The following is a 17,508-nucleotide window of genomic DNA, read 5'->3' as shown; positions in this document are numbered from 1 at the left end:
CTGGCTCTCAACTCTCATTAGACAAAGTATTCTCTGTGGAACATTAATCCTCATCCACTTCCAACATATATGGAAATGGGTGTTGAACAGGTTATGTAGCACTTAATGCATCAAGACAACAAAAATCTCTGGAGCAAGAGGAAAGAGGCATGTGACAGTGGCATGAAGCAAGAAGTTGTCATATTGTGACTGGAACAAAATGAATGGACAAGGGGCCAAAGAAAGTTGTGCCTGGGAAGATCTGAAGCAGTGTGCAAGAGTTCTCTGATACAGCCCAACTCTTGAACCACTCCAATACCCTTTTACTCTATTCATGTCTGGTTCCCGTTCTACAGTAAAGCCTTTTTTGGGGGTTGGGGGGGGGACAGAGTTTCACTCTTGTTGCCCAGGCTGGAGTGCAATGGCACGATCTCGGCTCACTGCAACCTCTGCCTCCTGGGTTCTAGCGATTCTCTTGCCTCAACCTCTTGAGTAGCTGAGATTACAGGCACACACCGTCATACCCGGCTAATTTTTGTATTTTTAGTAGAGATGGGGTTTCATGTTGGTAAGGCTGGTCTCGAACTCCTGACCTCGTGATCCACCCACCTTGGCATCCCAAAGTGCTGGGATTACAGGCATAAGCCAAATGCTTCCGTTTTTAAGAGAAAAATATAACCCCCACTTCCCCCAAGATGATATGATATGAGTTTAAATAGCTGACTAGCCATAGCCTCTGAAATGTTTTAATGCAAATGAAATAAGCCATACTCCCTGATATTGCAGCTGATCCTGAAGACACATCTGAGTTTCATCATCTTCCTCCTATACTCTCCAAACAGAGTGACATCACCTTCACCAGCACTTTGTTCTTTGGTCAGGTAGGCTGCCTAATAGAAAAATCAAACTACATCCCTGTGGGGTCCAAGTCTTTATTGCCTTGTTTTTCTTGGGTAATTGTTCCAGTAATTCTCTGTTGTTATCACTGGGCAGAGAAACATGATGCAATCTTTCTCAGCAAATTTTAAATTCTAAATATAAGTCTTATTTCTCACATTTGTTGGCAGCAATTCTACATCTTTTTTTGGTATTTAGGGTTCATTACTGCTTGAGTACATTACCTACATTTTCTGACTGTTGACGCACTGGCATGAATAGCCAAAAGGGACCACATGGTCGTAGCAGAGTCTAGTTCATTGTAATATTTATTCTACCCTACTCAGAATTGTTTCTCTTTTTTGGAATGAGAAACTCTAACCAGCCGACACCAATCTTATGGGGATAGCAAGCAAAGTTCTGAAAGTAGGCCACTGGATTGATAGTGAAAGACGAATGCCCTGATTATGCTCATGGATCCGTGTGGAGTCAATTGGTTGCCAGAATGCGAAAGTCTGGAAAACATCTCAACAGAATCATCTTGAGTTCTACAATAGTGACATTACCTATAGGAGCATTTGGGGAAGTTATGGGACAATGGCTGGTTGACGTTTAATTACACCTACGACTCTTACTAGCTATAAAAGTTTCCCTTAACTACTCAGCCTCAGTTTCTTATCTGTAGAATGGGGATGTTTATAACAGAATCCACAGCAGTGGAATGCATACGTGCACACACACACACACACACACACCACACATGCATATATATGGAATGAAGAGAATTATAATGATTGTTATGGATAAATGAGCCAGCACATGTTCGGTGGCCTGGTATGATGGAGAATGGTGAGTTTACAGAACTAAAGAGGTTTGATACAGCTAATGCTCAAGTGTGTACGAGATGAAAAGCAGCAAGAAATAAAATAGAAAAGGTCATCTGGTACTAGTTCCAAGAGGGATTCTGCTGCTTGATTAAGGATTTTGTTCTTTATCCTTTAGGTGATGGGAACCTCTGAAGGGTTTTCAGCAAATGAGTGACATAATCAGACTTTTATTTAAGGAGAGTAACTCTGACGAGTTTGGAGGTTAGATGGGGTGGGAGCCTGCAGCTTAGAGGTGGGAAGATGGGACACTGATTAAATGGCTGATTCAGTATTGCAGGTAAGAAAGGAGACTGAATCAAGATATGTGTGAATATGCAATTTTTTTCACTTTGCCCTTCATCATCATTCAAAAATTATTGTTTTTCTCAAAATACAATTTTTCTAACATGTCTTAATAATTCTCTATTTAAACAGATTGAATAACACATCCTCATGGAATAAGCACCAGCCACACTGCAGTCTACCAATATGCCTTGCACACTTGCACAAATGCTGCCAGAGTGACATCCCTGCTGGGTCGACTGAATACCATCTCATTTCTCACTTACACAATCAATGATTCCTTCTCTTCTTCCCTTCTGCATGGACACTTTGCTGAACATAGTTTTGTTTTTGCTGGCCTGACTAGAAAAAAAAAAAAAAGACTTGTTTAGGTAAGATGCTTAATTAACCAATGAATAGTGCTCTCTTGTTCCTTTCAAGCTGTCTCCCGCATTTTAAATTTACTGGACAATGCTAGTAAACTCAAATGGGACCTAATGGTTTTCCTTGGGGATAGAGAAAGTTAGAAAATTGCTAAGTAAACACAGCATAGTGAAGACAAAGCAATGCCAAATTCAAATCTTAATGATACCACACACATTACACAGGTAGTAAAGGAGAGGATGTCAACAACGTTTGCTTTTTCATACACATTAAAATTTTTAAGAGCTAACTGTTCCAGGAGCAACCATGTCAAATCTTTTTATGCACAAAATGATTGAAAAATGAAACATAAAAATATTTTCTTATTTGTATTAAAGATTCCAGCCTCTCAGACACATAATCTGAAGGTTTTTTTTTTTACTTCTTTTTAATCAGAATTTTCTTCTTGAATCCGGAAGTCAATCCTCCATTCATAATTTTAAAACTTTTTGAATTATATGCTTTAGCCTTTCTAAATCTGATTTTTATTTCATAGGAAGGAGGAGAAACCTATTACAAGTGGGCATTGTGATTTTATAATCTTAGGGTACATTATTTTCTCCAAGTATGTCCACCTGCCTTTAACAAATATATTTATTTCATCCTTATTGACTCTTTATTATTAGTTCTGTCTTTGGATAAGAGTCTGTTCTTTTCCAGGGAACATGTCCTCATTTTTTTTCTTTGTTAAGGCATTTTCTTTTGTAGTAGCTGGCAATTTGTGACTTCACCACACACTTGGCAGATATCCTTATTCCTCGTAATGATCACATCAACATCAGCAATGAATATCAATGATAATGATGTCCCTCTTCAGGCTCTTTCCTAGGCTGATGCATCTGGCCTCCTTGAATGGCATTCATTAGAACCAGGCACCAAGATAATAATACACCGAAGCCAGTGATGCCAGCCTTTCTCTCTTTGACCAATTACCTCCTGGACCTTGTTCAAATGGAAACCAAACCACCCTGAATAACTTTACTCATTTGTAGAAGTTAGGAAAATACATGAGAAGCTACAAATAAAACCTCAGAGTTCTTTTTTTGGACGTTATAAAGAGATGTTCATTCTAACTATATAATATCAGCATTTTCTTATGCCATTATTTGTCAGCACTGCAGAGCAGAGAATGAGTTTTATACAGATATTCAAAGTGATAGTGTATAAAGTATTGAAAGTTTAGGGCATATATTTATATCCTCAACTGTAGGATAACCTGATGGTCATTAAATTAAAGTCTAGGGCTATAGTAATATTGGATTAAGAGAGATTTCTGAACTGTTATATCAATCAAAGTTATACGAATTTGATGATTAGTGGCTATATCACTCAGACAATTATCACAATATAATTCTGTAATGAATAACAATAAAAATAAAGCGTAGTATTATGATACTCATATAGGATGCCCGATTATTATTTTTTCAGTACAACATGGTAACTGGAAAATAAACACAGTAAAGAAATAGAGTTATTAGCAACACTACAAAACCAGATTGTGAATGAGTCAAAATGTCAGAGTGATGATAAGTGTTTGTGGAAAGCAGCTGGAGATCCTAATTAAATCATAGTTTACACACTTTGATAGTACTGATTTCTGACATTGACATGTATACAAAACATACCATATGGTTGCCATTTTATAGGCATATTTTTACATATATGTTTGTATGCATATATAGATATACATATAAGCATAGATGTAGACCAAAACTCCTCATAAAAAGCTTAGCACAACTTTAAATAATTTTACACCAACCATATAATCTTTGTTAACTGATATTCTGCTAATCATATCTTTCTTTTAATTGGTGTTTCAGAACATGTACAGTAACATTATGTTTAATGATATTGTAGGATAGCTTAACAATTTAAAAATGGATTTTGGAGTTATTGCTTAGAAACCAAAGAAAGGAAATTATTTGAGAACTACAATAGGGTTTCACCAGAATATTCCATTTTTAACAACACCAGGTAACAAGGAGTTAGTATTTTTATGTTAGTCATACATTTACTTATGTTCACTGATATCTGCCTTTTATCTCAATTAACTTATAAACTTCTCAAGGACAGGGCATTTGTTAAAAATATTTGTTTCTATGTCTGGTTATGGTCTTTCAATATAGACTGAAGGTTCATCTCAAATGATAAATGTAACATGAAATCACCTCATAGATTGTGCTAATTTAGATACTATTCTGTGTTAGCTGTGGTAGCTCAATTAAGCTGTACACCCAGTGCCATAGGCAACAGACATCCAAGTGTTAGGTCTACCCAGAAGTAAAAGGATCAGGAGCTACTCACATATTGGAGAAGAATCTCATCAACCATGAGCTTGGCACACATGAATAAGTAAGTCATTGTAAAACTTTGTTAAAAACGTTTTAATTTTGTTCAAATGTTTTAAGTGTTTAGAGAAAAAAAGTTTTGGTTCCTAAAGAGAACTACAATAAAACAAAAAAATAAAGAACTATATAAAGTGCAGTTAATCCTTGAACAACATGGTGGTTAGGGGTGCCACTTCCCCAAAACCTGTGCAGTCAAAAATTCATGTATAACATTTGACTTTCCAAAAACATAACTACAAATAGCCGTCTGTTGACCAAAAGGCTTATCCGTAATATAAACAATCCATTAACACATATTTTGTTATGTTGTGTGTATTATATACTATATTCCTACAATAAAGTAAGCTAGAGAGAAGAAAATGTTAATAAAAAGATCATAGGGCCGGGCGTGGTGGCTCACACCTGTAATCCCAGCACTTTAGGAGGCTGAGGCAGGTGGATCATGAGGTCAGAAGTTCGAGACTAGCCTGATCAACATGGTGAAACCCCGTCTCTACTAAAAATACAAAAATTAGCCGGGCATGGTGGTGTGTGCTTATATTCCCAGCTATGTGGGAGGCTGAGGCAGGAGAGAATCACTTGAACCCGGGAGGCGAGGTTGCAGTGAGCCGAGATCACGCCACTGCTCTCCAGCCTGGGTGAAAGAGCAAGACTCCATCTCAAAACAAAACAAAACAAAACAAAAAAAGAAGAGAAAATATACTTGCTATTCATTAAGTGGAAGTGGATCATCATAAAGGTCTTCATCCTTATCATCTTTACATTGATTTTTTGTTGTCATTTTTGTTGAGACAGAGTCTCTTTCTATCACCCAGGCTGGAGTGCAGTGGCTTGATCTCAGCTCACTGCAATCTCTGCCTCCCGGGTTTAAGTGATTCTCCTCCTTCAGCTTCCCGAGTAGCTGAGATTATAGATGCAAGCCACTACGCCTGGATAATTTTGTAATTTTGTATTTTTGTATTTTTGTTTTGCCATGTTGACCAGGCTGGTCTCAAACTCCCGACCTCAAGTGATCCACCAACCTTGGCATTCCCTAGAATTACAGGCCCACCATGTGCCCACCTATCATCTTCACACTGGATAGGCTAAGAAGGATGAAGAAAAAGAGGAATTGGTCTTGCTATCTCAGGGGTATCAGTGGCAAAAGAAAATCCACATGTAAGTGAATCCACACAGTTCAAATCCATGTTGTTCAAAGGTCAAGTGTATATTGAAGAAAATTCTGCCATGTGTCTATAGACTAGCGGAAGGAGTGAAGTACTTTTCTTGAATATCTATTTCCCAACTGGGTGAAATGTTAGGGAGATGAGAATTACTGTTTATGTTAGTATTTGGAGGAGTATTTCCTTCTAGCCACCAAAATACGTGGGCTTGGTGATTTAAAAAAGTATATATTAAAAAACAAAACAAAAAAGAACTCTTTTTTTTGTTTGTTTGAAAAGAAAAAGACAGGAGAGGCAGAGAAATGAATATTTGGAGAGAATTGGAAATAAAAAAAACTATCATGTTTTTCTCACAGATAAAATTCTTTGCAATCTGCTTATCTGTAAGTCTACTCTATCACCTGGAATGTATTAGAAAAGCTAAAGCAGCTGGAGAAAGTTGGAAGCTAAGAATGGACAGTGCGCAGGGCCGAAGTTAAAGGCAATCCTCAAATATAATAAGAAGCACTTGCATCTAAAAAGCATTCTACAAGCTACAAGAGTTTACTGTGGGAATGCTAATTAATAGGTAAATCCCAAAAAGTTTAGGATATCAAATATTCAACTATGCTTCACAAATCTTATTTTATTTTTATTTATTTATTTATTTTGAGATGGACTCTTGTTCTGTCGCTCAGGCTGGAGCTCAGTGGCACCATCTTGGCTCACTGCAACTTCTACTTCCTGGGTTCAAGCAATCCTCCTGCCTCAGCCTCACGAAGAGCTGGGATTGCGGGAGTGTGCCACCATACCTGGCTCATCTTTGTATTTTTAGTAGAGACGGGGTTTTGTCATGTTGTCCAGGCTGGTCTCGAACTCCTGACCTCAGGTGATATGCCCTCCTTGGCCTCAGAAAGTGCTAGGATTACAGGCATGAGCGACCTCACCCAGCCTTATTTTATTCTTGATCTCTATGTTGACCCCTATCAATAAGTTCGTGTCTGAGCCCTTACATTCTTTGACAAAATCAGAGTTAGAGCCTCCCCCATGATTTCACATACGAACAAAATAATGTGTATCTGGGTGGAATATCCCAGAGGTATTTTTCCTGATTCTTCCATTGTGTGTGGAGGTCATCTACGGCTTATGACTCGAGGAGTGCGGGGAATAAACACTCTGAAATATTCCTCCTGTATGGCTCCCAGTCGCCATAAATTTTATCATCATGTAGTTTAGGTTTCCTCAAGGTAACTCTTTTCTGAGAGTATGCCACCCTGTTGCAACACTTAGTTATTCATTATAACGTATACCTGGGTTGACATTTTTTTATCAACTTGCTTCTCTTGTGCATAGTTAGCTGTGAGTAAGGAAGCAAGGGTATTTGAGATTATGGAAGACAGAGAAAGGAGCATTTTGTATGTGAGAAATTACCTAGGCTTTTGGTCTAGGTTAGGACACATAGTGGGATCACTAGGTAGCTGAAGTTTTTCCAGACACAATGCTGTTTATGTGAATCTTGGACATTCACAATTCATTTTCCTTTAGCTCATTTTTCTTTTTCTTTTTTTTTTTTTTTTTCAGACGGAGTCTTGCTCTGTCGCCCAGGCTGGAGTGCAGTGGGGCGATCTCGGCTCACTGCAAGCTCTGCCTCCCGGATTCATGCCATTCTCCTGCCTCAGCCTCCCGAGTAGCTGAAACTACAGGCACCAGCCACCAAGCCCGGCTAATTTTTTGTATTTTTAGTATAGACAGAGTTTCACCATCTTAGCCAGGATGGTCCTTTAGCTCATTTTTTAAAATAATCCTCTGATGCAGATAATAACAATCTCTCCTTTTACTTATGAAGAAGTTGAAATTCAGGGAGAATTTACATAGCTTATTCAAATTTATGCAGCTAAACAGTGACATAGCTGAGACTTACTCAGAGTCTTCTTGTATTAGTCCATTTTCATGCTACTGATAAAGACATACCTGAGACTGGGAATAAAAAGAGGTTTGGGCTAGGAGTGGTGGCTTGCCCTTGTAATCCCAGCACTTTGGGAGGCCTAGGTGGGCAGACGATGAGGTCAAGAGATCAAGACCATCCTGGCTAACACGGTGAAACCCTGTCTCTACTAAAAATACAAAAAATTAGCCGGATGTGGTGGCATGCACCTGTAGTCCCAGCTACTCGGGAGCCTGAGGCAGAAGAATCGCTTGCACCTGGGAGGCAGAGGTTGCAGTGAGCCGAGATCGCGCCATTGCACTCCAGTGGGCAATAGAGTGAGACTCTGTCTAAAAAAAATACAAAAATAATTTTAAAAAAGAGGTTTAATGGACTCTCAGTTCCACATGAATGAGGATCCCTCAAAGTCATGGCAGAAGGCACAAAGGAGTGAGTCACATCTTACATGGATGGCAGCAGGCAAAGAGAAGAGAGCTTGTATAGGGAAACTCCCATTTCATCAGATTGAATGAGACCCCTTCACTATCAAGTGAACAGCATGGGAAAGATACACCCCACATAATTCAGTCATCTCCCACTTGATCTGTCCCACAACACATGGGAATTATGGAAACTATAAGATGAGATTTGGGTGGGGACACAGAGCCAAATCATATCACTTCTGATTTCAAATTCCCTTTTCTTTTCACTAGAGTATGAAAGGCTTCAACTCTAAAATGATGATATTTCTAAGTTCCACAGTTCTGCCAAAGATTGGTTTTAAAATACATGTTAGAGGTTTACAAATGATTAGTAAGAGTAACTACATTTCTACATGAGGGAGAGTACGTTCACTGTTCAAAGGACTAGTGTGAGGTTGCAGCATATACATGTGTAATGTATTAAAAACTAAACATGCATTTGATCAGAAAACAATAGACAAATTTTATTTAAGATCACAGGTGTCTTATCCCATTGTTCCCTCAGTGATCATATGTTTACCAACAAGCAAGTAGGCAGACACAGAGATCTGTTTGTCAGGCAATCTCATTTTCTTCCTGCCACCTCTAATGTGAGTATCTCACCACAATAAGTATGATTTGATTGTTTAAAATATTTTGTCATATGAGCTTTTTTACCTTAGGTATTGTCTTTAAAAACTAAGCTCTTGGGACTCAGCTCTACAATGTTCTATTTGTTGTTTTGTAGCAACGTTTTTGAATATGCCCGCATAATATTAGTTCTATATGATGTTATACAAATAAAAGAACAAATTCTGAGTCATATTAATACATTAACAAGATTGACTGCAGGATTTTTCAGTTCCCTTCATATGCAAATGTGAGCGTGAATCTCTAAGTTCGGGGTCAGAGATATATTGGGCAAAATTTTCTAGTGTGTGTCATGGGCCTTGTGTACTTGGGAACACTTTTTCAGTTTTACACACACACACACACATATACACATGCACACACAATCATATATATATATGCACATACATGTATATAATTTTTGTATATGATATGTACAGCTGTTAGCTTTTTGTGATGAAATATACAATCTCTAATGTTAGAAAGAGGAAATAGGCATTTTTGAGAAGGTTGAAAGAAAAGAAAAGGAAAAGGAAAAGACATGTCTGGAAGTTTCCATGGTATCTACTGGCTCAGGATTAAACATCCAATTGTGAAAAGACTTGAGGTTGGAAAGCATTTTCTAGATGCTGGTCAAACTAGGTCCAAAGGCACCACATGGAAAGATTGAAGGGATACTGAGCATGTGTAGAAGAGAGTTGTGTCCCCCGCCATCCCCACTGTCCACCCAACCCGAACCAGAGGGCAGTCTGTTCATTTAAATGCGAGGGCTAACTAAACATCTAGCCATTCTGCAGCATCACCTGAAAATCTCAGGGTGGACCAAATGGGAAGGGTATGATACCAGTAAAGGATAATTTCTGAAGGAAATAATGTTTATGCTAGAAAAAGAGGAAGCCGAGCCCTATCCCGACACTCTTTTTTGAAGCCATTTGCTTCATTCGCCTTCAGGTCCTTATGAAGGAAACTATTGTAAATAATACAGCCTAACAGGAATGAGCATTCTGGTTTTTTCTGTGGGAGAGTTTGTGGGAAGACTTAGTATACACCATTGACCATCCCCAGTTGTTCTGAGAGGCATTATAGCCATTTTGGCTACAAGCCAACCTGCTGTACTAGTGTGGTTGACACAAACTACACATGAATCATCAAAGGAATTTATTTCAAGGAATTTTACCATAGCAACATTGACCTCTATCATTCTTGAGAAAATGAGTGTTAATATGAGATATTCCCAACACATTTTTAGGCAATTACAGTAGATTGGATAGAATCCAATGGGACAATTCCAGGCATCCCTGGAAACTAACCAATTTAAAACTAGCCTTCAGGCTCCCCACCATCCTATCTTCACTCAAAGTCTGTGTTCTTCCACTGTGGAAGATATAATAATAACTATGGGCCAATGAGACCAGTGTGACAGGGAAGAGAGTCTGCAAAATACGTGTCCAGGATCAGCCATGAGACACCACCTTCCACAGAAATCCATTCATCTTCATGCAAAGGAAATAATGGAATAGTTTTAAGATTGTGAAATTCATGCAGGCACAATGCAAAGTCATATAATAACTTCTTGTTTAATATGACCACATCTCTTTGTTTAATTGGATCACAATCATAAGGATAGTTTGATACTGTGTCTGTAACTGTGTTCAGAATCAGGAGCCTAATTAAGTCTTATATTTCTTGGGATAAGAAGAAATAATTCAAGCACAGAATTCCAGAGGAAAAAACAAACTGCAGAAGGAAAGGTAGAAACATATCTGGGTAAAGACAAGATAATTTTCACCTCTTCTTTAACATGGCATGAACACACAAGCACATCCACCACACATCTATCTACACATAATTTTTCCTTTTATTGGAATTCACGCCTTCCCCTCAGCTTGAAGTAAGGCAAACTTTTGGACTGTTGACAATGCTAAATAATTGATGATACCTTATAAGTTTGCTCACAAACATCTAAATATCAGAGAAATACTCTGTAGACTACTGGAAACTATCTAGATGTTCATCTAGAAACATATCAAGGTGCTTATTCATTGGGGTTGTTCTCTCTTCCTTACATTGCCAGGGTTGGTTATATGTGTGACTAAGAGGGAGAATGCTTACCTGTACCCTGTGATGTAGCACTCTAATAAGGGTTGCTGACAGAGTCATTCACCAAAAATATAGTCGTCATATGTCTGTCACAGTGACCAAAATCCAAAATAATACTCCATTGGGACCGCTCATTAAAAAATTATGACATAAAGAATCATATATTTTAGAACCAGAAATAGGACTTACTGCCATTTTGTTAATTATTTTCAACTGTTTTCCACTTTTGTCTTCCTTTATGGTAATTTTTTATGGTAGTTTACTTTGATTCTTGTTTTATTCTTTGGTGTATTTACTATAGGTTTTTAAATTTATGGTTACCATGGGATGTACGTAAAACATTTTATAGTTATAACATTCAATTTTAAACTGACAACAATTTATAAACACTCTACCCTTTAACTTCTCTTCCCATTCTCATTTTATGTTATTGATGCCACAATTTTTATTTTTTATATATTATGTATAATTAATAAGTTATTTTAACTATGTTTATTTTAATGCTCACCTTGCTTGTACAGCCTGCAGGACTATGAATCAAATGACCCCTTTTTCTTTGTAAATTTTCCAGTCTTAGATCTTTCCTTACAGCAATGCAAAATGGACTAACATAGACTTCATGGACTTGGATGTTCATTTCCCTCTCCAAATTTGGGAAGTTTTCTGTCATTCATTTCTTTAAATTAGCTTTCTGCCTCTTTTTCTTTCTCTGCTTCTCCTGGCATCCCTAGAATGTGTATATTGTTGCACTTGATGGTATCTCATAAGTTCAGCAGGCTTTTCTTTGCTTTTTCCATCTTTTCTTTGTTTTTGTCTCTGACTGATTAATTTCAAATTTCTTTAAGCTCACAGAGTCTTCAATCTACTTGACTGACTCTGTTGTCAAAGTTCTCTATGAAATTTTTTCAGTTTAGCCATTACATTCTTTAGCAGAAGAATTTCTGTATTTTTTATGATTTTTATCTCTTTTTTGATGTTCTCATTTTGTTTGTATATTATTTTCCTGATATTGTTCAGGATTCTATCTGTGTTCTTTTGTAGCTCACTGAGCTTCTTTAAGAAGATTATTTTGAGCTTCTTTAAGACAGTTATGAACTTTCTCGGGCAGTTCATAGATATCCATTTTTTTAGTATCTGTAACTAGTGCTTTAATTTGTTCCTTTATTGATGTCATGTTTTCCTGATTATTTGTGATCCTTATTGCCTAGTATTGATTTTTGTGCATTTGAAGATGTAGGCACCCATTTCAGTCCTTACAGAAGGGCTTCATCAGGAAAAGCCCTTCACCAGTCAGCTCATCACATATTCTTGGCAAGCTGTCTGGTAGTGTCTGCAGTTAGGCTTGCTGCTGGAGTCTTTGGGCGATGGGTAGAGTGCCTGGGTCAGCAGATCGGCAAGAATGACACTGGGTTTACAGGTCATAGTCTAGTTTCTGTGTCTATATGATTGAGCCTGGAACTTGGTTCTGCTGGGGTGGACCTGGATTCTGGGTCCATGAGGGATGGCCTGGTGGTGGAGTTCACCGAAGTAGACCTATTTACTTCATCTGTTGCAGGAAGTCAGGGACCCTGAATGGAGGGACTGGCTGGAGCCGTGGCAGAGGAACATAAATTGTAAAGATTTCATGGACATTTTTCAGTTCCCAAATAATACTTCTATAATTTCTTATGCCTGTCTTTACTTTAATCTCTTAATCCTGTTATCTTCATAAACTGAGGATGTACATCAGGACCTCAGGACCACTGTGATAATTGTGTTAACTGTACAAATTGATTGTAAAACGTGTGTTTGAACAATATGAAATCAGTGCACCTTGAAAAAGAACAGAATAACAGCGATTTTTAGGGAACAAGGGAAGACAACCATAAGGTCTGACTGCCTGCTGGATCGGGCAAAAAGAGCCATATTTTTCTTCTTGCAGAGAGACTATAAATGGACGTGCAAGTAGGAGAGATATCACTAAATTCTTTTCCTAGCAAAGAATATTAATATTAATACCCTGGGAAAGGAATGCATTCCTGGGGGGAGGTCTATAAATGGCCGTTCTGGGAATGTCTGTATTATGCAGTTGAGATAAGGACTGAGATACGCCCTGGTCTCCTGCAGTACCCTCAGGCTTACTAGGGTGGGGAAAAACTCTGCCCTGGTAAATTTGTGGTCAGACCAGTTCTCTGCTCTCGAACCCTGTTTTCTGTTGTTTAAGATGTTTATCAAGACAATACATGCACCACTGAACATAGACCCTTATCTGTAGTTCTGCTTTTGCCCTTTGCCTTGTGATCTTTGTTGGACCATTATCAGTAGTTCTGCTTTTGCCTGTTGTCCTGTTCCCTCAGAAGCATGTGATCTTTGTTAGACCCTTATTAGTAGTTCAGCTTTTTGGCCTTTGAAGCATGTGGTCTTTGTACTTACTTCCTGTTCTTACACTCCCTCCCCTTTTGAAACCCTTAATAAAAAACTTGTTGGTTTGAGGCTTAGGTGGGCATCACGGTCCTACTGATATGTGATGTCACCCCCCAGCAGCCTAGCTGTAAAATTCCTCTCTTTATACTGTCTCTCTTTATTTCTCAGCTGGCTGACACTTATGGAAAATAGAAAGAAGCTACACTGAAATATTGGGGGTGGGTTCCCCCAAAATGCATCTGTGGGAATGGGCCTAGATCATCTGTGGGAGTCAGTCTCAAGCTTGTGTCTATAGGGACCAACCTGGTGCTAGGTTGAACCTTAAGCCTGAGTCCACAAGGGATGAATTGGTACTCAGATGGTCCTGCAGCCTGGGTCCATGAAGCTGGGCCTGTGTCTTGGATATGCTGGAGCAAGTATGGATCCTGAGTTAACTAGAACTTGGGCCTTCGGGGATCAACCTGGAACCTGGGGCCAGCCCGGTAGTGAGGAAGGCCTTAAGCTTGAATCAGCAAAGCTGTTTTGTAGTCTGGGTTCATAGCATTTGTCCTGGAGCTTGGGTCTGTGGATGCCAGCCAAAGCCAGGCTCTAATAAGGTGGGCCTGTACCCTGAGTCCCCTGGAGCATGGGGTTATTGGAGGTAACCTAAAGTCTAGGGCCCTGGGTCTGGCCAGGTGCCTGGGGTCACAGGGAATGGCCTGAATCCTGGATCTGCAAGAACCATACAGAAGGCTAGGTTCATGGGGGCTGGCTTACAGCCTGGAGCCACAGAGGCTGGTCTGACACTGGATAGGACCTGAAGGCTATGATCTTATAGGGCAGGCTTGAACTCTGGGTCTGCTGGAGTGGTCCTGGACTCAGGGTCTACTGTAATGTTTGTCTGCAGCTGCTGGCCTGAAGCTGGGGCCATAGGGGTAACTCTGGTACTAGGATGGGCCTGGTGATAGAGTCTGCAGTATAGTCATGTTCACTTCCCTTTCATTGACCCACATGAAGGGTGGCTGTCTTTTCACTATGGTGCCCAGGCTTGGGGAAAGGATGAAAAGGATAATGTAAAACAGTGTTTCTACTGTCTTCAATACATGTTTTCTTATTTCTTTGTTACACTCAGAGGCTGTAATTTGTCACCTGGATTTTTTGGCTCTTATGAAGATATTTTTGTGCATGGATAAGTTGTTCAAATCAATCTTTCTGCAAAGGACCAGCACTGGAAAATCCTATTCTACAATCTTGCTGACACCATCCTTCAAAGTCTTCAGTTATTTAGAATCTTTCCATTCCTCCTGGTAAGGAGAGGAATCTTCATTCCTCACAAATGAAGATTTCCTTTAGTAGTGTAAATATCCCTTACAAAAGGATACCTTTCTACTCAGTTTCTCCTGAGTGTACATTTTCTCAAAATAATCAACTCAAAATAATGTTTATTCCAAAGAGGCATATTCTCGGGTGGGATATTCCATTTTCCTATAATTTATGTACCCAGTTCTATTAAGTAACACTTAGGTTATATCCTACTTTTTTTGTTTTACTTCTATGTATGACATTGGTACATTTCCAACAAGTAATAGCTTTACACACTTCTTTATTTCTCCCCTAATACTCCAGCTTTGTATATGGAATCTCCTACATCAAAAGTTTGCCAATATTCTTAAGATTCTGGTATGATATTGTCAGATGCATTTGAATCGGAGCAATTCCATCTTGAATAGGGACTGGATAAAATGAAGCTGAGACTACTGGGCTGCATTCCCAGAGGGTTATGCATTCTGAGTCACAAGATGAGATAGGAGGTCAGCACAAGATACAGGTCCTAAAGACCTTGCTGATAAAACAGATTGCAGTAAAGAAGACGGCTAAAATCCACCATAACCAAGATGGCAATGAGAGTGACTTCTGGTCATCCTCACTGCTGCACTCCAACCAGCACCATGACGGTTTACAAAGCCATGGCAACATCAGGAAGTTACCCTATTTGATCTAAAAAGGGGAAGCATGAATAATCCACCATTTGTTTAGCATATAATCAAAAAATAACCATAAAAACGGGCAACCAGCAGCCCTCGGGGCTGCTCTGTCTATGGAGTAGCCATTCTTTTATTCCTCTACTTTCTTAATAAACTTGCTTTCACTTTAGTCTATGAACTCTCCCTGAATTCTTTCTTGCACAAGACCTAAGAGCCTTCTCTTGAGATCTGGATCGGGACCTTTTTCTAGTACCAACATAATAGCATCTCTTTCTGAAAATACAAATATCTACTACCAGCTGTTCTCAGGAAAAGCTGTCCTCAATGATCTATCACTACATCAATGCATTAACAAGATGGCATGCTCAAGGCTCTGTTTTGTGCCACTGTGTTCTATTTGCATGGTTTCTTTTTAAGCTTCTTGTTTTGGAAAGCCTGGGGATCATTTGAAGTGGCTAGGGATCAGACAGGAGAGAGGAAGAAGAAAAGAATGCAAAATATAAGAGGGAACCAATGACCAAGAAAATGACCCTTTGTTCTATCAGTTCTGGAATCAAAACAACACCATTGTCTAAAAGCAAAAGAAAGAAATACAGTGGGGCATGAAATTTTACTGGAATACCGGCCAGTCAAAGCAATTGCAATATTTTCTATTACAGCCAGAAAGATATAATTTTCATTGAGAAGGGAAAATCAGGAGAAAAAGATGTAATGATGGTTCAAGAATTCCTATTGCCCTGTGTGTGTTAGTTGTAGCCTCTTCCCTTTGAGCAGGCTAAGCCCTCTTTAAAGCTCTCCTAAGCTGCGGCTCCAGGGTAACATTTAAACAGCTTACACTCTGCCTTGAGTCACAAGCAAAGGTGAACTTATCAATTTTTGCAGCCATGCCATTCTGGGGAAGCGTTTGCTTTTTTAATTGCTCAGCTAGGGTTCATTGGGCATAATTGAACAGCTACCTGATTAGAGGGCACAGGCTGAGAATGGCAGGAACCAGCTGTCATGAGTGTCCTGCACTTTGAGTGGGTTCCTCCTGCCAGCTATCCCCCTGCTGGGGTGAATGAAACTGAACCATTCACTCATGCTACCTTGACCGAGGAGGTGAACAGGAAGTCCCTTCAACCCAGCCAGCTAGCCAGCAGCTTGAAAATAGCCAGCCAAGTGTTTCTCTTTCACAACCAGATGTTAACTGAAAGCTTCAAATTTCAGAGATTTCATTAAATGTGAGAATTACACCTCCTCCTCATCACCTGCAAAAAGCAGCAGACTCCCTGGGGAAGAAAGGCAGCTCCACTTGCAGAGTGCCTCTTTCCTGGCTCCCTGCTGACATCTTTGAATAGGGCTGATGCCATGAAAAGGGATCTAGTTTCTAATCCCGAGAGGCCTTAGGACAGGAAGCATTCACATAGAAGGAAAGAGAACATTTTCTGTGAGCATTTGTCTTTGCCATTGCCATAGTTATACTAACTAAAGTTCATCAGCTTTTGAAAAACAGTCAACTTGCAATGCAAACAGCTGCTCCAGCTTGATCTTGCTGATAGCTTTCTAAACACTGCAGGCAGAAACTTCTTAGCCCACTCACTTCTTCTTAGCCCACTTAATTTGAGTAAGCAAATCTCTCATAATTATCCATAATCTCTTTATATCATAACATGATAGAATTTTAAAGTGGGTAGAAGCAAAGTTTTTGGGATAACCTTATTTTCATGAAATTTATTTATTTATGGTAGTAATAATAAAAGTGTAACCTTATATGACCGAAGATGCCAAAAAATAAGGCCAATTATGCATATGCTGTATTTGACTTAGTACATTACTTCTTTTCATCTCTCTCCCACATAGGAAGAAAATGGATAAACTTTCCCTTTAACCTCTGAAGTTTCACTGAAAAGTTAACTTACAAAGGTAGGTTAATTCTGAAACCATCTTTGCAAAAATTATCACAGTGAGAAAACAATGACAGTGAAAGAGATCTGATCTAACCATCCCTCATCTTGCCTTTAACCTCCAAACTGCCCTAGGTGATTCCCAGGCTTGAGCCAAGCCCTTCCCCAATTCTAAACCACCTTTATAAAACTAATGAAAGGCCACCAGTTTGGGAGGATGAGGGGCC

General features: G+C 39.1%; 1 annotated feature.

Annotated features, from left to right (window-relative positions):
* Window positions 16,270-17,154: an enhancer, noted in NCBI's record as "OCT4-NANOG-H3K27ac-H3K4me1 hESC enhancer chr8:34764264-34765148 (GRCh37/hg19 assembly coordinates)". NCBI's record gives its function as "activates a minimal SCP1, AML or CMV promoter by ChIP-STARR-seq in naive and primed H9 embryonic stem cells {active_cell/tissue: H9 hESC(naive and primed)}" and the evidence as "EXISTENCE:reporter gene assay evidence [ECO:0000049][PMID:30033119]".

This window comes from Homo sapiens, chromosome 8 (genome assembly GCF_000001405.40).
Source record: "Homo sapiens chromosome 8, GRCh38.p14 Primary Assembly".
Lineage (NCBI taxonomy): Eukaryota > Metazoa > Chordata > Mammalia > Primates > Hominidae > Homo > Homo sapiens.
This window is presented reverse-complemented; position numbering and strand designations above follow the sequence as displayed.